Consider the following 21,826-nt stretch of genomic DNA (forward strand, 5'->3'; position numbering starts at 1 on the left):
TATCCAGTAGCTCTGATGTAACACAGAAGTTTGTGAGGCATGACTACTGCTGAGGAAAACCATTTGGCTCCAACTACTCACCTTCTAGGTGCTTAAAATCATGCTTTTAATAACCCATATTAGAATCTTAGCCATCAAAGACCTCCACCTGACAGGTCTACAGGCTTTCATTTTATAACCAGTTGCCCTTGATATTCTATACTAGTTGTTTACTGGTAAAATATTTTACAATCACAGGTGCCTATTCCTGTCTTTTTTCCTCTCCATGACTACTAATTGAATAAAACAGAAAATATGAGACAATTGTATATATGAAAAATTGTCAAACTAAAGAGCAATTCAAATTCCTTTTATTCGGAGAGATAAAAGTTGATATGAAGTGGATATGACAAAGAGAAAGAACATCCACTAAATACTTAGTAGTATACAAAGAGTTAGACCATGACAAAGTTCCTAGAAGTTTAGCTCCTCTGCAGGGGTTTCTTAGACTACTTGAACCAGAATTTTCAATCTTATTTCTTATACAGTTGGGAACCACTTCATTTATACTTGGCCTAAACTTCCCCTTGTCTGTATACTTATTTTTGCTCTCCACCCTTAAAACTGACTTGCCCTTAGCTATAAACAATGTACTTTGTTGCCCATTCATGCAGTGCTTTATTGTTTTCATTCTCTGATGGTTTTTTTTTTCATTCATGTCCAAATGAGCAGTGCCTTAGATTCTAAATATCCAGTGGAGAGCCCATATATGTACATTTTCCTTTGAACGTCTAGAACAGTAACATTATCAATTAAGTACTTAACTGCTTTACGATATGCACAACAAAAACTATTAAGAGGCCACAAAAAGCTATGCCTACCACAAATTTAAAACCCATTAAAAATCAGGAATGTCAAAAGCATGTTAACTTTTTAGGTAAAGTGTATAAACTAGCTCTTCATGGTTGGCTAGGAAAGCCTAGAGAAAAAAAATCCTAAATATGAAAGGTGAGTCTGCCTTTAAGACAAAAGAGAAATATACTTGGTGGACCTAAAAAAGAAGGCCACTTCAGAAGTTAAAAATGCAGTAAGCCAAGATTCAGACTATGACAAGGGAGACGGTAAAACTAATGGTACAGAATTTTTAAATCCCTGAAGTTTAAGGGACTCTTTACAAGCAGGATAGTTTAGTAGTTGCCATGGACTATGCTCTGAAGCCAAGCTTCATTCTGGTGAGTTTAGAAATCTGTTTCACCTAGCTGAATCAGAATTTAGCAAACTGATTTATGTAACAAAAAGGCTGTACATTAAAACGTTCCTCATGGGATGAAACAGAGGAGAAACTACCCACTCATCTGCGCTGCCTCACATGGATGTTTTGAGATTTAAATGAGATATTAATACAAGATGTCAGAATACTTATAAAAATCTTTGACACTTTATAAAAATATCAAAGATAAGCTATTACAATTTAGTATTATAAATAAAACTTCTGTTCACTTGATTGTTAAAGACTGTAAAATGTCATGCTCAAATGACATGTTTTCCTATTTGCTATGAGGTTGACAGTAAAACTTTTGCCCCATCTCAGCAACCAGAGGGACTTTATTATATGCATCTCTGCAGACTTTTACCTTCTAGATTAATTTTGTATCTCTATTCCTTTCAGGCTTCATCTCAATTTCCATTTTTTAATCCTTTAGTATTATAAATAATTATGATAGACTCCTCAACCAGGATACAAATGATAAACCAACGCTCAAACCTGCAGCTTAATGGCACGATCAGCTTGCTAGTCCTCTAAGATAGAAACCTTGGAATCATTTTTGGTAACTAATTCTCTAATCTCATAAATCCCCAAGACCTAACAATCTAACCTATGCAATATCACTTACACTTGCTTGCTATTCTTCATTCCCATTCCCTCTTACATGGACTACTACAATAGGTCTTTCCACAGCCAACTCATTTTACATGATGCATTATCAATTCTTCTTAATGAGTATCAATGCACACCGTACCTTTATCTTTCAAACATTTTTCAAAGGTTTCCAATTGTCTTTGAAAAAGACTTAACTCCTCAGTCTGCCAAAGCTTGCCACATTTTGATACTAATCATGTTTTATCTGTATTTTCTATGACCCAGTTTCTCTCTAGACACAGTAAGCTATTTGCTCCAAATGCCTCATCCCTGCCTCTGTGTCTTTGATCATGCTGTCTCCCGTACTTGCAATATTCCCTACCTATCCTCACTGTCACCCTACCTACAAATCTCTACAGGGCTAAATATTGCCTATCCTTGAAGAAAAATCTCAAACGACACTATTTTCACTGGCTTTCATCCTCCAAATTGAAAACTCTCTGATCCACCTCCATATTCCTATAGTAGCATATCTGTAACTCTTTTCACATACTTACCTGCATCTACCACCTGTCATTCTCTCAGTTTCTATGTGTGTAAGATTCTCACTCTACTTATGTATATATGTAAATATATATAATTCTACTAGACAGGTGATACTGAAGTTTTTAAATTGCAAAATCCATTGTTCATAGGAAATGCTATGAGAAAGCCCAATAAATAAAATAGATTTTTAAAGGAGTCTACAGGGTTGAAACGAAGAAGGGTGAGAGGGTAGCTAGAACCTCGCATGCCCTCCTGAGCAGCCCCACAGGCAACTTCATTAAGCACAGAGATACAATACAGTACACTAAACTACACACTCTCTTGGTAGCACAGATACACAAGAATTCCCTCTCTCCCACTCTTACTTTCTTTTCACATCATCTAGCCAAATGCCTGGCATATAATAGGAATTCAATAAACATTTCTTTTTTTTTTTTTTTCTTGAGATAGGGTCTCACTCTATTGCCCAGGCCAAAGTGCAGTGGTGCGATCTCGGCTCACTGCAACCTCCACCTCCTGGGTTCAAGCAATTCTCTTGCCTCTGCCTGACTAGCTGGGATTACAGGTGCAGGCCACCATGCCTGGCTAATTTTTATATTTTTTTAGTAGAGACCCAGTTTCACCATGTTGGTCAGGCTGGTCTCAAACTTGACCTCAGGTGATTCGCCCACCTTGGCCCCCCAAAGTGCTAGGATTATAGGCGTGAGCCATCGCGCCGGGCCTCAATAAACATTTCTTAAATGAATTAATGAAACATTAGGTGGAAGTGGATGGACAAATAAACAAGTGCCTAAACAAAAAGTAGGAGGACTTAGCAAAGGGACGTGGTAACAGCTAAAGAAATACTATATAAGAAAAGAAAATGCCTTAAAAATAACTTACATGGCTGAAAAGAGAGGTGGTACTTTATATAATTAAAAATTGAACACATTTTAAATAAAAATACCCCACAAATATGTGTGAGTTTACTATCAAAGAAAGAAGCTAAGACTAAAGAATTATTTACATGTATCATATTAAGATAAGTGAAATAATGGGATATCTGGCTAACATCTAAATTTAATTTATATTCAACACCTTAGAATTAAGAGATATAGTAAATTAAACTACAGTGAATAATTAAATTTCTTTAAAATGAATTCGATTTCACTGATATATATATGACTGTTAGGGAACAGTGTTCTGATTTTAAGATGTATTTCCTTCTTTCTCAAGTTACAAATGTAAAGTTCTGCAATTGTATTTAAAATCTTTTGGTGGTAGATGTACACAAAAGAAATACCTCAACATAAATCACTATGGCACATAATGAACCCAAAAGGAATATCCATGTATCATTATAGGCAAGATGTTAAGTTTGAGAAAAACAAAATCTGACCTTTAATATATTTTTTAAACTGGTTAATAAACATAAATGCAGCAAGGCTTACATTCCATATATTTTTAAATTCCCCAGCATTCTTGGGGTCTGTCTGCAAAAGCAAGGGAATATGCACATGACAGAGAAAAAAATTTTAAATAAAAGAAACATAATCCTGTGAGATTATTCCCTTTAAATAGAAGAGTGAAATCCAAATACTTTATTTTTCTACATCCAAAAAAGAACTTCACAATTCTTTTTTTTAAAAAAAAAAGACGTATATTTCATTAAAACACTGTTTGTCTATTTATCAGAGAATAATTCTGTATTCACATTGTAATTACTATTTTTAAAAAATACTACATGCCTACTGAAATAATGAAACAGAATGTCAGTATGGTTACCTGTGAATGAAAAAATTATTTCCCTCCTTGGTTCTAGAGATTCCAAAATCTCAAACAAATGCATTACTTTTACAATCAGAGAAAGTTTAAAGTTATATAAATAGGTATGTATGCATGTGTACACATGTGTGGATATGTGGATATGTGTATGTATCCCTCTAAATGGCCTGCTTATGTCTAGCTTATAGTTTTTACGTTAAAAGCAGCACCTTTCTCATTTCCATAGAAATGAGAAAAAAGGGGCATACTTACATTATTTAATAATTAAGAAAATAAGTTTAAATCTAATATAACATAGCAGTTAAAAGTCTGACTCTGGAGTCAGAAAGACCAAATCTAATCCCAGTTCTACCACTGAATAGCTGGATGACTCTGGAAAGCTATTTAATTTCTATTAAAGAAATTCTAAATTCTAAAAAAAAATTCTCTACCATTAGTTTTATCGTCTCCTCATTTTCTTAATCTAAAATTTGGCAATAGCCAGGCACGGTGGCTCACGCCTGTAATCCCAGCACTTTGGGAGGCCGAGGTAGAAGGCTCACTTGAGGTCTAGAGTTCCAGACCAGACTGACCAACACAGTGAAACCCCGTCTCTACTAAAAATACAAAAAAAAAAAAGTTATCCAGGTATGGTGGCGCATGCCTGTAGTCCCAGCTACTCAGGAGACTGAGGCAGGAGAATCACTTGAATCCGGGAGGTGGAGGTTGCAGTGAGCCAAGATCCCACCACTGCACTCCAGCCTGGGTGACAAAGTAAAACTCCAACTCAAAAAAAAAAAAAAAAAATTGGCAATAATATCATTCAACTAACAAGGCATTAAATGAAATAATATATAGGAAGATGTTAGTGCACATTACCTATTTAGTGATGGAAGTGATATTTCCTCTTCCCACAACTCTGTGTAACCAAAATTCCTATCGATCCTTCATGTTTCAGCTTAAATGAACTCTCTTTGAGAGGCTTTAGTTCCCCCATTACACTATCTCATAGTATCCTGTACATTTTCCTTCAGAGTCCTTATCACAATTTATAATTATTTATTTCCACAAATGTATACACAGTTCATGGCACACCACATGTACTTAGTAAATGTTGAATAAATGAATTTATGAGTGGAAAGAGGTTTATAATCTTTCCACTGGTATCATTAAATTCTGTCATTACGTAAATCAGTGGGATCCTGATTATAAATGTTACTGCCTATAATACAAATGGGGTATTTAAATTTCAATTTAGTTCTTCTAGGGACAACTACACTAGAGGGGGAAAAAAGAATATCGCTAGTATTTCAGTCTACTTCTACATATTTAAAGTCACAATTATGGAATCACAATAATTCTCTATATTTTGTCCCACAATCTTCCATTTAATGAGTCCACTAAAATAAGGATTAAGAAAAATGTGGGTTCTTTCTTGGCTTTCAGTTTACCTGCTGAGTTTTCTTTAAGTCACCATCTGCTACGGCTATGATTAAATTAGCTACTTATTGATAAATCGGGGCACTACAAGATGACATTATATAAAAGCACTAGTTTTCCAAGTATGGTCTCTGGATCACCAACATCAACATCACCTGGGAATTTATTTGAAAGGCAAATTGCTGAGTTCACCCTTGATTTATTCAATCAGAAAGGCTGGAGGTGAGACCCAGCAGTTTAATGGTTCAGCAAGGCTCTCAGGTGATTCTAATGCACACTAAGGTTTGGGAACCATTGCACTGGAAGATTCATTTTTTTAAGTCATAGGTTGTTTCACTGGTTTTCATCAATTTGCTGCTCTTTATATTTCATCATTAAAATTATATTATTTCAATATAGTCTCTAAAATACTCTGAAGTCTGACAAACAGGTCATCTGTCAGAATATAAGAAAGGCAACCAAACAATGATTGCTTAACATACAATTCCATCCACTGCATAATCAGTTCATGTTGTCAATGTTCTCTTTTATTCAAAATTAATTCCTTTTACATCTCCTTTTAAATAAAAAGATCTTTGCTTCAGAAAAGCTAATTTCAAGTAAAATTGGGAAGTGACTCAAATAAGCAATTACTGTTTTCAAAGGTTTTATTAGTCACAGGAAAAAAAATTACTAGAGCCAAAAATATAAAGTAGTATTGCCACTATATGTAAAGATACATACAATTAAGTCTAAAGTTTTTATACACAAAACTATAAACTGCAAGAATACAGTTTACTACAAAAACAAAAGTATTTCTGAGAAATGAGAAATAAAATTGATATTTCTAATACAATTAGAATGTAGCCCTGAGATTAAGGATTTTGTGTTTGTTTTATTCACTGCTATATCTCCAGAGCCTAGAATGGTGCATAGTACACAGTAGGCACCCACTTGGTAATTGTGAATGAATAAACAAAAAACATTTGTATATAATAATCTTCTAGATTAAATGTGGTCTGCCCAACAGGTGCTAGTCTAAAAACTGTTTCAAGTACACAATAAAATACAAGGAATTTGCACCAGAATGTAAATCAATTACATTAGGTAATTTGTAATACACACCATTTAATTTCTCCTTTTATCACAAGAAAACTATTTCAACAAAGGAAGCAGGGAATTGGTTTACATTTTGGCTCAAGCTGCTTTCTCACAGAAGACCAATAATAGTCACAAACTTGCTGAGTAACACTGCTTTAGACTAAATGTTGAGAGTAGAAATGAGAGGGAAAAATAGGGGGATGAAAACTAACTTCAAAGCAAATAATAATTTCTAAAAATAATTTCTGGCTGCTAAGATGTGGTCATAATCATATTACTATGCCTTTTAAAGGAAGCTTATAAAACACATGAAAACAACAAAAAATTTTAAGGATAAGCTCTTTTTGTCAGCTAAATGCCAGGTTCTAATCAGGAAATTTAAGATATCCCAGTAGTGTCTAAATGAATGAAGTCTTTACATTTTCAGACGGATTTATAATAGCTCAGGGGTCCCCAACCCCCAGTTCCAGTTCGTGGCCTGTTGGGAACCAGGCTGCACAGCAAGAGCGAACACTACCACCTCAGCTCTACCTCGTGTCAGATCAGTAGCAGCATTAGATTCTCCGACCCTATAGTGAACTGCACACGCGAAGGATCTAAGTTCTGCGCTCCTTATGAGAATCTAATGCCTGATGATGTGAGGTGTAACAGTTGCATCCCAAAACCATACGCCCCATGTCCCCACCCCACCAACCCAGGTCTGTGGAAAAAATGCCTTCCACGAAACTGGTCCCTGCTGCCAAAATGGTTGAGGACCACTGTAATAGCTGGTCACAGAAACTAAGATACATACAAAAAAATTATGCTCTAAATTAGTGAAAACACTTCAAGTATACAACTCACTCATCACTTCAGCCACTCCCACAGAGACTGCCCTCCTACGCTATACTAACCCATCAAGATCACAACTTCCTATGCATTCTACTAAATTCAACACCTACCAGGCATACTTACGTACCAGGCACTGTAAAACATGAAATTTAAAACAATCCCCATAATCAGGGAGCTTATGGTGAGGAAGAGAGAAAAATAAAAAGATCACTGTAACATAGTAAAATGAGGACTTAAAAGAGTATTATAAGTTACCACAGCACACAGAAAGGAAACTGAGTGGAGATGTCAAAGAAGACTTCCAGGACGATGAGATTTCCAAGGTGATACTTGTATTTTCTGTTACATTTTCTGTTCCTCCAGCTCTCTTAATTACTACTTCTACTCTACCTAGTTTTATACTTCACTAAAATCTCCAATCCCTTCTCCCTCCCCATTTTTCTCCAAATTGATCAACTCCATACTTTCTATTCTATCCCTCCCAACCAGCCCAAAGTTAGTGATCAGAACCTCCAACATCTCAAATTTCAATAGCCTTCTGCCACATCTGCCCTTCAAATACCTAAATTAACCCAATTATCTTTCTTTCCCAGCCCTATGCCCAGCTGCTGAGCACTTTGAAAAAGAGTAATACAGCCTGTTAGAGGCCTTATAAATGCTGACTAAGCTCAGCTGAGTCACTGACAACTTAGGCAACAATTAGTATACTCCTAATTAGCTTTCTGTCCCTAATTCTACCGCTGACACAACAAACCTTTACCACTCTCTTCAAACTCCCCTACCTCAAATCTTTGCCATCCCAACCAGCTGTCTTGCCTGCTTCCTTAAAATGATATGAATGGTAATTAGGCATAGCTGAAAATAAATATTACCTGACCTTTTTTATAAGCAAAAGAAGTGTACTGAACTACAGCAATCTAACTAAAAATCCTAACAGTATTTCATTGAGAAAAGAGTCAGTCCCAAAGGACTTACAAATAACCTTTGATCGTCTACCTGACAATTTCAGCCTTAGAAAATACAATAAAAAATATGAACCAAGGAGTAAGCAAACCCCTCTCAAAACTGATATTATGTTTATGCACCAAAGATCAAGTAGTTTTTTTCAGAAAAGAAAGTGTATCAAGTTTTCCTAGTTTATGAACTCTTATTATAGATACAAATCTAATAAATTTGATTACTATACTGTTGTAGACTGGAAGCAACATTCAAAAGGAAAGAAGGTGAAACATTGCTGGAGTCTGGTATGACAGCAACAAAATTACCAGCCAAGGGGAGAGAAAACAAAAACTATAAAAATAAATCTATAAATTCAAACAAAATTACAGATTGGGACTATTTATCCTAGGAACAAAGTACATTTTATGCTTCTATGATTCACTAGGACATCACTGTATTACAAGTAGAGTACTATGGAGCAACTGTACCTAGTATTCTGTTTATAAGTAGTCATGAATATTCATAATCTACTGTAGAAATAATTTCTTTAAAATAGAACCATTTGATCACTTAGATCATGTATTTACAAAATAAAGAATACATTAAATACCTTTATTCTTTATTACTTATATTGCATAGATATCTACATATATATAATTCTATTAGTCAGAATGCAGTTTTATATATCTATAAAAAAATTAAACTGGTCATTTATTTCCAGCTATGACTACCATTCAAAATTAAGACAATAACTGCATGATTTAAAATTGAGGGAATAGTTTGGCTGATTTTTACATACTGCAGTCACAGCACAATTCTACATTCTAGCAAGAAAAACAAATATTAAAGAAAACTGAGAAGTTCTTCAGAGTCTCTAATAGTACAGTAGTTAACCGGCCCACTCATTAGTCAGTTGTTTTTACTGTTTCTCTCCAGTGTTGTTTCAAATAAACTTTCTAAATGTAAAATGATTTCATTAATCAACTTTAAAAGTAAAATGAATTGCACAGACCAATGTCTGAAATCTGAGTACACAGCAAAAAGCAGAAAAAGAAAAGAAAAATGAAACTACTTAAAATTTGCACTTAGAATTTGTTTTGGAACTTGATAAAATGATTCCTAAAAATTCATCTGGAAAAATAAAAATAGGAAAAGAGTCAAAAATATTTTAAAAAGAAAAGTTATGCGGATGGACTTGAACTATAATACTAACTATTAAAACATATTAAGAAGCTATAATAACTAAAATAATGCAGTACTGGCAAAGGAATAGACTACTCAACGGAACAAAGCAGAAAAGTTTAAAATAATTTATTATCTGATAAAGGTAGTATTTCAATTCTGAGGAGAAATAAAGGCTTATATAATTTGAGATGGTAAGTACACTGGCAAATCAATTTGAAGAAAAATTATTCTAACTTAGAACCCTCCCTGACATCATAAAACAAAACAATGGATTAAATATTAAACCATAGAAACTAAAAATATGAAATGTAAGAAAGTGCATGAAGATATGTATCAAAATCAAGGGTAGGACATTCTGTCAAAGACAGAAGCAATAAGATATATAAGACTGATTCAACTATATGAGCAATGAAAACTCATTTTTTTTTTTAATCACTATATACAAACCTTAAGGCAACCACGAGATTTAGGTGCTGGCGGGGAAAATAGGGAAAATGCCAAATATAATCAACCAAAGGTCAGTGCCTTTAGTATATCAAAGGTCCTTAATAGGAAAAAAAAATACAGTAGAATTATACTAAGAATACAGACAAGCACAAAAGAAGAAATAAAAATGGCCAAAGTATTTTCAAGCTCAGTTGTCAAAGAAAAGCTGAAAACACAATATTTTTACTGTTAAAAATTGTCAGGGAAGATGGAGGGAGGTGCTCTCATAACTTGATAGAAATACATTAGTTCAACTTTCCTGTAGGAAAAATTAGGAAGTTAGTATCAAAAAAGTCTTTAGACTCAAAAATTCCTCTATGACTTTCAAATAGTAGGTTTCAAGATTCCATTATATCATTTTTAATAATAGTGGAAAAACTGGACAAAACCTAATTACTTAACAGCAGGGATTAAAAATAATATGATAGATATACACACAATGAAATAAAAAGATCTGATAACATAGTTGTTCACAATATAGCAGGTGAAAGGAAAAAAGGACAGTTGCCAAAAAAGCACAGTAATGACTAAAAATTACTAAGAACATAAAAATTAAGTCACACACAAATGTACACACCCCAAAGTGTATGCCTCGCTTGGAAAGGAATCATAGATGCTTTTATGATCTTCTTTTTTGCTCATCTGTGTGAGGATCTCATTACTTCTACTGCCGCTGCTAACTCATTCAGGGATTGTCTCAGTTTCCTTGGATAATAAGGGGCTTCACTGCATTTAAGGCTTCCTGATTTATTCAAACAGTAACTACACAAATGCACGCACACATACACACACACACACACACACACAGTCTCCTATATGTTGCTATGCAGAGATCTCTAGACACATTTAAAAAAAGAAAAAAAAAGTTTTAGGCCAGGTGTGGTGGGTCACCCCTGTATTCCCAGTACTTTGGGAGGCTGAGGCAGGAGGATCGCTTGAGGCTAGGGTTTATAGTGCAGCTTATAAAGATAATGCTGTGTATTTATCAACATGGAAAAGTCCTGTGATATATATTAAGTAAAAACCCAAGTTACACAGTAGTAATTATAATATGGGCTTTTGGTATTTTTTAATTTTTTGTATGCATTGGAAAGAAACTGGAAAGATAAATACCAAAGCCTTAATAGCACTTTGAGGTTTTTTTTGGAGACAGGGTCTCACTCTGTCACCCAGGCTAAAGTGCAGTGGTACGATCACAGGTCACTGCAGACTCAACCACTTGGGCTTAAGCAATCCTTCCACCTCAGCCTCCCAAGCATCAGGAGCCACAGGAGCATGCCAAAAGACCTGGCTTTTTTTTTTTTTTTTAGAGATGGGGTACCACAGACTGGTCTTAAACTCCTGGGCTCAAGCAATCCTCCTGCCTCAGCCTCCCAAAGTACTGGGATTACAGGCATGAGCCACCATGCCCAGCTCCAATAAGCACTTTAATTTAATTTAATTTAATAATTAAGGTGTTAATTATGAACTTTCTGTATTTTCTAATTTTTTCCTTTTCAGAAAATAATATAAACTGTCTCTATGAGGAAGTATAAAAAATACTTCATTTATTATAGAATAAAATGTTGATATAACAGTTCCCCTACCCATAAAATTTCCAGGGTTTTTCATTGGGGGTGGGGGTTAATTGTTCCTAAAATATAAAATCCACCAATACAGAAAGAAGTGAACCAAGATCTTGCAGCTCCAAACCTAGTCTTCTCCACTGTATCATGCTACCTTAATCACTCAGATGTAGCATTATTTTTCTTTGTATCAATTTGCCTTTTGAAATATTTATATTTAATTACAAATTCCAGATAAGTGAAGTTTTATTTCTATTAAAAATAAACATTAACTATGTTCACATACTTCTAAAGGATTAGAGATATATAAAAGACATTAATATGCACAAATTCTAAATTGGAAGAGGCAGAATAAAAAATACTATCAGTGCTTGACTTAGAAATGGGTTGTATTCCAAGTCTGAATGTTTGGAAAGTAATTCCAACCAAAAAGAATGTTATTTTTGTTGAATAAATAAATATTAATTGATTGCCAGGCCAACCCCAAAAATTTAATTTCCCCCCCTTTCCCTATTAAACACACATTACTAACCAGTGTAATACAGGAATAGAGAGAAAGCCATGAAAGGCTAATAGAACTCTACTAGCCATGGCAAAAACTGGTTGTAACGTAGTTGTTTTAAGACACAGAAACCTATGAAAGGTAAGAAGAAAGCAGTCAAAGATAATAGATTCTCACTCCTCTTCTCTAGAAAAGTGGTTGTGTACTCTATTCTGTCATAGGAAAAAAATGTTATGCCAATTAGAAAACTTTCTAATGACTACAACAACATTTTTTTCAAAGGCATATGGTATTTCACAGCTAAGGTTTTTTTTAAAATCTACATAGGTGTCCAAAAAAGATATATTTGCAAAAGATGGCATACTCATTTGAATATATATTTTTTATATATTTTAGTATATTAAAAACACACACACATATACACACATATATGTTAATATATGTTAACATCTTAAAACACATTGGAATATATCAATTCTCATTTCTTTTTTTTTCTTTTTTTGAGACAGAGTCTCACTCTGTCACCCAGGCTGGAGTGCAGTGGCGCAATCTCAGCTCACTGCAACCTCCACCCACCAGGATCAAGCAATTCTCCTGCCTCAGCCTCCTGAGTAGCTGGGATTAAAAGCGTGTGCCACCACGCCTGGCTAATGTTTATTTTTTTTTTAGTAGAGACAGGGTTTCACCATGGTGGCCAGGCTGGTCTCGAACTCCTGACTGACCTCAAGTGATCTGCCCACCTCAGCCTCCCAAAGTGCTGGGATTATAGGTGTGAGCCACCTCGCCTGGCCCAATTCTCATTTCTTTGGCTGTAATGTAAAAGTGTCCATCAGTCTCACATCTAGAGATAATCAAAACTGTGCTTTGGCAAACTTAACTATCATGGGACTTCAGAACCAGCAAAAAGTCAAAATCAACAAGATTTATTCCACTATATTAAGAATTTACTACTCTTTTCTAAAATTACACTCACCTTTTTTAATTTACAGAATTTACTGTAACGAGGCAAATCAATATATAATATAGGCATCAAATATTAATTTCCTATCTAAAACTACTAACCACTCTCTGATATATTTTTAGTAATGAAGAATCCATTTTTTTCTTTTCTGAGACGGAGTCTCACTCTGTCGCCCAGGCTGGAGTGCAGTGGCACGATCTCGGCTCACTGCAAGCTCCGCCTCCTGGGTTCACGCCATTCTCCAGTCTCAGCCTCCAGAGTAGCTGGGACTACAGGCACCCGCCACCAAGCCTGGCTAATTTTTTTGTATTTTTAGTAGAGACGGGGTTTCACCATGTTAGCCAGGATGGTCTCAATCTCCTGACCTTCTGACCCGCCCACCTCGGCCTCCCAAAGTGCTGGGATTATAGGCGTGAGCCACTGTGCCCGGTCAAGAATCCATTTTTATCTAGTACCTTTTTTATTTTTTATTTTTTGAGACAGTCTCACTCTGTTACCCAGGCTGGAGAACAGTGGCAGGATCATGGTTCACTGCAGCCGTAACCTCCTAGGTGCAAGTGATCCTCCTGCCTCAGCCTCCCAAGTAGCTGGGACTACAGGGCCCAGATAATTGCTTTTAATTTTATTTTCTGTAGAGACAGCGTCTCAAGTATGTTGCCCGGGCTAGTCTCAAAACTCCTGGCCTCAAGAGCTCCCCTGACGTCAGCCCCTCAAAAGTGCTGGGATTACAGACATGAGCTACCACACCTGGTCCCCCTTTTCTAAAGATTAATTTTGAAGCTGGTACATTTAAACTAACAAGTTTTCAAAATCTCACCATAATAAAAATAATGAATTGACAGAATACTACATAACATTGCTAATTTTACAGCTACCAGAAATTTTGTAAATCTAGCTACATAAAAATGAGAACCTAAAACTCACAATGACATTACATATTCAATTACACATGCTGACATAATAATGAAGTGTAATACATTCAGAGCTACAGTCATAGGATTTTTCAGAAAGACTAAGAGTATATATATATATAAATACATTCACAAAAGAACATTTTTAAGAAACTGAACACATTTCTTTATTATTCATACTTTCTAAAAAATGGAACATAAATGTAATATTAAACTTCTCAATCAAATCTGACTTGCCAAAGTAGCCAAAAATTAACATCTTCAAAGCTATAAAGAACTGTGGGACAATGACAACTTAAAAAAGAGAGACAGGAAAAAAGTAATCAATGACCGTGTTAAAATCAAATATAAAAACAGGTTATAACATGTAAAATGTATTTTTCCCATCTCAATAAAAATGTAACAGATGCAACCCAGAAAAGAAGCATTCTATAAATAATTTGTATTTACTATATTTCTTCTGTGCTGCCCAATATGGTAGCTGTTTGCTAAGTTTATGGCTAAACTTAAATAAAATCTACAATTCAGTTGCTCAGCTGCCTGGCTTATTTAATATACTCAATAGGTACACATGGCTAGTGGCTATCACACCGGATAAAAAGGAACTAAAATTTCTATCACTGTGGAAAGTTCTACAGCATGCTATAATGTAGACAAATCCTTTCTTCTCTATAATTATGAAATTCTTCCCATTAAATTGCAAATATTTCCCCCTATACTTGAATTACTTTTTATAAACTCCTTAATCAGTATGTTGATGATGATATTTATTTTTTAAAAAGATAATGGTAACAAGAGCACAATGTTTATCATCTGCCAGGAACTACACTATGTGTTTTAATTCAATCATCTCATTTAATCTTCGTACTAACCCTGTGAGGTAGATACAGGTTCACAGTCTCTTATCTGAAATATGTATTGCAGAATATAAAGTTTTCAGATTTTTGAAAGTTAATACTGTACATAAATCACATAATACTTTCAGCAGAGTCTAGAGAAGCATTCAGGAACATGGTGAAACGTATGAATATTCACTCTAAAAATAAAAAAAGACTATAAATAGCTATATATCAATTACAGCATGGATCTACCATCAAATTAGTTCAGAACAGAGACTGCCACTCTCCAGTGTGATAATCAGCAATTATACTGCAATTTTAGGCTGATGGGTCTGTGAATTTTTACCTATTTTTCCCCATATAACTAAGGATTTTCATCACAGAATTACTCAAATAACTTCATCTACCTGAATTTCAAGAATTCATTTCTGTAAGTAAGCAAGACACTTTTTTCCCTGGTAATTACACATATAATCCTAAACTGAAAGTTCTAGTTATTATCTTCTCATGAGAGAATTGATAGTAATATTTAAATAAAAAAATCAATTATTTTATGTAGCCACATTTATAAAATAACATTTTTTAACACAAGCACTTAATTTCACTGGATCTAGAAACTTAAACATTTCCTATTTCATTTCTGAAAGGAAAAAAGACTTTCCATTATGCAGTGTTTTTATGTTCTCAATCTGCTTTTATACATAATATCACTTTCAGGAAATCTGCCTTTATACATATTCTCACTTACATTACAATTTGAAAATATTCCTAATTACTATTATAGTTATAAACTAAAGTATATCTTAAAATATCCCAAACAGATGCATTTCACAAAAAGTAAATGGGTAAGTTTACCACATATTTTAGTGTAATTTAAATATCAGGAAGATCAATTATTATTTAACAGTGAAAAAACACAAAAGTAGGATAGACATTTAAATATTCAAATAATATGGCCACATTTGTATCCAAAATTATGAAATAACACAAATACAAGCATCTAATAAGTATATAGTAAGTATATAATTTCTATGAAAAAGTATACTTTCTTTTGGTTACTGATATGCCCTTGCTGAAAAAGATCTGTTGTTAGATATAGGAAACTGCAACAAATGCTATGATAATATAAAAATGACAGGCTGGGCGCAGAGGCTTATGCTTCTAATCCCAACCCTTTGGGAGGCCAAGGTGGGAGGATCACTTGAGCCCAGAAGTTCAAGACCAGCCTGGGCAACACGACAAAATCCTGCCTCTACAAAACAATACAAAAATCAGCCAGGTGTGGTGGCTCACCCCTGTAGTTCCAGCTACTTGTTGAGGCAGGAGGATCACCTGGTCCTTGTTACTAATAACCGAGCAATCAACTGAAAAAACATTTAGCTTTCACATTTTATTTCATTATAGCACAGTAGTCACACATAAACTGTTGAAAGTCATTTATAAACTAAATTTTGTAAATCAAAATAAAAAGTTTATTAACTGAAATTAGTTTAGCATAAGTGCAACAGCACGGAATCTGGAGTCAGACTTCCTGGCATTAATCCAGAATTTGCCACTGACTATAGGATAATATTTGGTGAGTTACTCAACCTTTGTGGCTCTATTCTTTCGTCTATAAAAGGGGAATAATAGCATCTACCCTCACAGAGTTGTGTGAGGATGAAATGAAATGGCATATGGAAGTACTCAAGAGAGTGCCTGGTACACAGCATGTTCTATACAAGCATTCATTATTATCACTGATATTATTAAAGCACCCTTGGAATTACAGTATGTTCGTACTTTTTACCTTCAGGGTTTTTCTTTCTCCCAGTTTCCTGAAAAACTTAAATGAACCAGGGGAACAATATTTGAAGGAAGCCTGTGTTAGCTTAAAAACCCATCTACTAAAAATTCAGAGACTATACATATCAGGGCTCTCTAAAGTCAGATGAAGGGGGCACACATTCTTTCACAGCTCATATCTTCATAATACTTAAAAAATAGTCAAATGATACCATTTCACATATAAAACAAAGCTCTAGTACACTGCAGCAATGAATAAATGGTCATTGCTATTTATCCCAAACACTCTCAGGAGAAGAAGCAAATCTTACTGAGAAAATTGTTAGTTCAGTTTTGGACATTCTAAATTTGAGGTGCTCGCAGAACACTTAACAGACATTCCAGGAAGCGGGCAGAACTACAGACCTAAACGTAGGTAGCTTATCCTCAGAAGAGTTCCTCATTCCCTCCTTTGTACTACCATGGAATTTTTCGCATCCTATTGCATTACAAATATTTGTCTCCTTCTCTACTGCTAGACTATATGCCTCTTGAAGGCATTCAGTTCCTGCCATATAATAAGGACTCAGTGAATGATTTTTAGCTGGGCACAGTGGCACATGCCTGTAGTCCAAGCTACTCAGGAGATGGGGGCAGGAGGGTCACTTGTGCCTAAGAGTTTGAAACCAGCCTGGCAACATAGAGACCCCATCTCAAAAATACAAAGGTAATTTTTTAAAATGCAAAAATTGCAGAACTGTACAATTTTTAAAATGTATTTTATTATATATAAGAAAATTCTGATTAAAATTTTTTTAATTTGTGGATGTTAGATAAGGATGAAATTTTCATTTGGAAGAATTCTTACAATATAAAAGTAACATGTAAACAAGATTTTTTCAATGTTATTGCTATTTATCCCCAAAACTCCCAATTTTTAAAAACGTGGTGACATTATAATTACTAAGCACTACTGAGCTGTGAAATCTGGCATCATTATCATCAGGCCTGTAACTCTGAAAAAGTACATGACAAGGCAAGAAATATATAAATGGGTAAAGTAAGGAAGAACTCAGAGAACTCAGTGAAGACTCTCAAAGTGCATTTAAATTAATTAAAATTCTTAAGAAGTTTGTTAAAATACCTGTAATGTCAACTGAAAAGATTTCACTTTCAAATTTACAGGCTGCTTGAGTTCAATAACCTAAAAATGAAAAACCTCTGGACCATTCCAGTACAGGTTATTCAAAGGAGCTGTGATAAAGAGCATATAGCAAATGTGCTCAGTTATATGCACTAGGTAAGGCACAACTGCTATCATCCCAACCCACTAACACTTGTTAGACTACTAATCCTTTCCTTTCAAATCTGTAAGAAGGGGCCAGGCACGGTGGGTCAAGCCTGTAATCCCAGGCACTTTGGGAGGCCAAAGCAGGTGGATCACTTGAGGTCAGGAGTTTGAGACCAGCCTGGCCAACATGGTGAAACCCCATCTCTACTAAAAATACAAAAATCAGCCTGGCGTGGTAGCGCATGCCTGTATTCCCAGCTACTTGGGAGGCTGAAGCAGGAAAATCACTTGAGGCCGGGAGGCAGAGTTTACAGTGAGCAGAGATCAGGCAACTGCACTCCAGCGCCTGGGCAACAAAGCTAGATTCCTCTCAAAAACAACAACAACAACAACAACAACACAACTTCTGTTAAGAATGCCTCACTGGTGATATTCACCACCCAAATTCAAAATATGGTAAGTTCTTCAAGGCTCTAATACTAGGACAGATTGGTTGCCAGTTCTAGATTTAATAGCAGATCATGACTATTTCATTTGTGCTTGACAACTAGACAACTTTCAGTGAAACCATTCCCCAGAAATGACACTACAATATTGTTACTTATTTAGACACCAGGGAGCCAAAAGAACAACAACTCATTAATAGTGAATGGATTGGGGAAGACAGCAGCAGAGGACTGAAAAGCAGCAATATAAACAGGCTTAGAACTATGAACAGCAGCAGTAGGGAGTCACAGAATGAAATTACTGTAACACAAAATAAACATAGCAGAATAAGTCCACACTTTCTCATTTGAAATATACATAAGCAAGAATTAAATGTATATTGAGTCTAATTTTATACAATCAAAAGCCTAAAAATCTCATAACAATAGAAATACCAGTAAATTTAAAAGGATTCTCCCAATTTTGGCCCTATTTCCCTGTTCTATAAAGAAATTCCTAAGGGCAAAAAAAATAACTTCAGACTATAAATGATGAATGTAACTATTAGGAGTGGCCTCTCTATGAGGTCTGAAATAGAAGGAAAATGTACATTTCTTCCAGAGCTGTAGCCAACAATAACTTTTGCATTCCGAATTCAGCTTAGGTACATTGGTTGGGAAGATGTTTGCAAAAGTATTTAATAAGAAAGTGCTGAATTTAGCCTTTATTTTTTCTCAGTTTTTTTAAAATGGCCCAAGGTCCATCAAATGCACTAAATAGAAGCTCTCCTAAGTATAAATAACAAAAGAATATAATACTCTACAGCTTTTAATTTAATTTTTAATTTTTGTGGGAACAGTTTGGTTTTTTTAATATTTTATTTTTAATTTTGGTAGGTACATAGGTTTTTTATTTTTATTTTTAATTTTTGTAGTCTTCTTCTTAAAGGCAACTGTCTTTTACAGATCAGAGATTATCAAACTTTTTCTGTAAAAGACCATATAGTAAATATTATCAGCTTTACAGGCCATATAGTCTCTGTCGCAAATACTCAACTCTGGCACAGAGCATGAAGGCTTCAATAGACAACAGATAGATGAATAAGCCTGGGTATGGTACAGTAAAAAATTATTTACAAAAACAGGCAGCAAGTCCATGGCCATAATTTGTTGACTTCTGCTATAGGACATCTGTTTTTAACTTTACTAACAAGTATATTGTTTTAATAAATACTATAAATTTTGAAATAAGATGTCTGGGATTTGCTTTAAAATACTTCATATTTTTTTAAAAAGGGAGAGTAGGGAGAAAGGTTAAATAAGACTGGAAAAACACAATTATTGTTAAAGCCAGATTATGGATATATAGGTTTCATTACACTGTAAGTTTGAAAATTCCCAAATTAAAAGTTTTAAAAATACAAAGTAAATCAATGAACCAGCTCTACAGAAAATGAATTTTTTCACCTTATTCTAAACCTTTTAAAACATGCTTAGTATTTTTAAACATAATTAACATAACACAACATAAAATATTCTTAATATAAAGCCACTAAACTATAATGAAAAAAATTAAACTAATCCACAAAAATGTATATAAGCATAAACACTTATAATTTTCCATAATTTAAAATATAGGCTCACTTCACGCAGTTGCTAAATATGTCAAATTTATTGGCATCTCATCTGAAAGGTGTAATCAATTTTTGGCTTTAGAATATTTTTATAAGAAATATATTATTTATATTAACATATAACAGGTTTACTACTTTTCAAGTTAATGCATAAATTTCTTTCTTTTTAAATTCTAAGTAATTCTGGCCAACATGGCGAAACCCTGTCTCTACTAAAAATACAAAAATTAGCCGGGTGTGGTGGCATACCTCTGTAATCTCAGCTACTTGGGAGGCTGAGGCAGGAAAATCGCTTCAACCTAGGAAGTGAAGGTTGCAGTGAGCCAAGATTGTGCCACTGCACTACAGCCTGGGCAACAGAGTGAGACTCTGTCTCAAAAAAAAAAAAATTTAATAATAAATTCTAACTAATAAATATTAATAGATATAACCCTCATAAACAAATATTCTTCAGGATCTTCAATGATTAAAAGTATAAAAGGATCCTAAGGCCAAAAAGTTTGAGAGCTCCTGAACTAAGTGTTTTCAATATTGTATAAAGTAAGTTGATCATGCAATTATAAGACATCTGCTCAAACTCATTTTACCTTTTAACAGTAATCATCACATAGTGACGTTAATTCAACTATGAAGGCTATCAATTTAGCCACAAGAGGAAGACACTTAAACCTTCAACAGATATATTCTTTTCAACTACCTGTTAAGTCATGAATAATGTATCCACAGGAAAAGAAGAGCACTATAATATCTTGCCCCCCACCTTATACAGACAAAATTGTCTCCTGAACCAATATAATGAAAAACTACTATGTGTCAACAGACATTTCTAATAAATATGCTACCTCTTATCAAATCAAGAGATATAGTTTCACTTAATGCAAGAAACCAGAAATCAAGATGAACAGAGCCTTAAGAAATCTTAATGACTCTGCAATTTCCCAAAGATTGAATACATGTTTTTCAAATGCTCTAAGTTTTTCCCCAATGCTCTGAAACACAGTGATTTCAAATATTATCAGAACTAAAAACTAATTTAAATTAGGCTTACTGAATTATTACAAGAGTTGAGAAAAACTAAGAACTTCCATGTGAAAACATTTCAACTGTCCAAGAATATAATCAGTCTCAAAATTTCCTAAATCTATAAACTAGAATAGAAATAAACAATACATAACACAGACTCAGGCAAATAATTAGAGCAATTGTGTCCACCTGATTATTCATTCTATCATTTATAAAGATGAACTAATACTCATTTTTCAAATACAGTACCACTGTAGCATTTTTAACCAATTTTGCCTCTACATATGGCAATTTAAAATGTTACCACAGTATTTCATTTTTACTTGATTAATAACAAATTATTTCCAAGTTAAGTTTTATAAATGTTGTTATGTCTATTGTCTTTCAACATGAATAAATTTAAAATAGTAATAGCAATAGCATGCAGGGACATACTTACATCATACTCTGTAATTCTGTTGCAAAGCTTATAGACTTCCCTGTACTCCTTCCACTACTTGAAGTTGCAGTAGACATTGGACTAGCTGCCGTATTATTCATCTAAATAAAAAGGAGAAATAAAGCTTACAAAATGTACCTAGCTATAAGTAAATGCAAAAAAAAAAGAAAGCAAATATAAATTACTTCAAAAAGTAGAGAAAATTTAAATTTCTGATTTGTTTTGCACAAAACTGATTCACTTATACTTAATGTTCTTTATTAAAATGAAATAGCAAGGTGGAAAAAAACTAGTCAAGTAAGATGTCAGCCAATTACTCACTTCAGTGATAAATACTTTAGCACCTATTTTACAATAGGTAATGTAAAAACAGTATTTATTA

The 21,826-nt window shown here is 34.2% G+C and overlaps 2 protein-coding genes across 27 annotated transcripts in view; one reads left to right on the forward strand and one right to left on the reverse strand.

The window, feature by feature from the left end:
- Positions 1-21,826, reverse strand: part of SUPT3H (SPT3 homolog, SAGA and STAGA complex component) — a 568,878-nt gene that overhangs the window by 534,700 nt on the left and 12,352 nt on the right. For 22 of the 23 annotated variants that reach the window (NR_146632.2, NR_146634.2, NR_146633.1 and 19 more), the window contains one exon: positions 21,445-21,545. Coding sequence is in view for 10 of the 23 variants with exons in the window: in NM_001350325.2 (NP_001337254.1) it covers positions 21,445-21,545 (101 nt within the window). In the remaining 13 variants the exon portion in view is untranslated. Of the gene's footprint in view, positions 1-21,444; positions 21,546-21,826 lie in introns of those variants that run through there. The other variant, XM_011514949.4, reaches the window with a different exon arrangement.
- Positions 1-21,826, forward strand: part of RUNX2 (RUNX family transcription factor 2) — a 222,753-nt gene that overhangs the window by 15,427 nt on the left and 185,500 nt on the right. The gene's annotated exons all lie outside the window — the stretch shown is intronic.

Source organism: Homo sapiens, chromosome 6 (assembly GCF_000001405.40).
Source record: "Homo sapiens chromosome 6, GRCh38.p14 Primary Assembly".
Taxonomy (NCBI): Eukaryota; Metazoa; Chordata; class Mammalia; order Primates; family Hominidae; genus Homo; species Homo sapiens.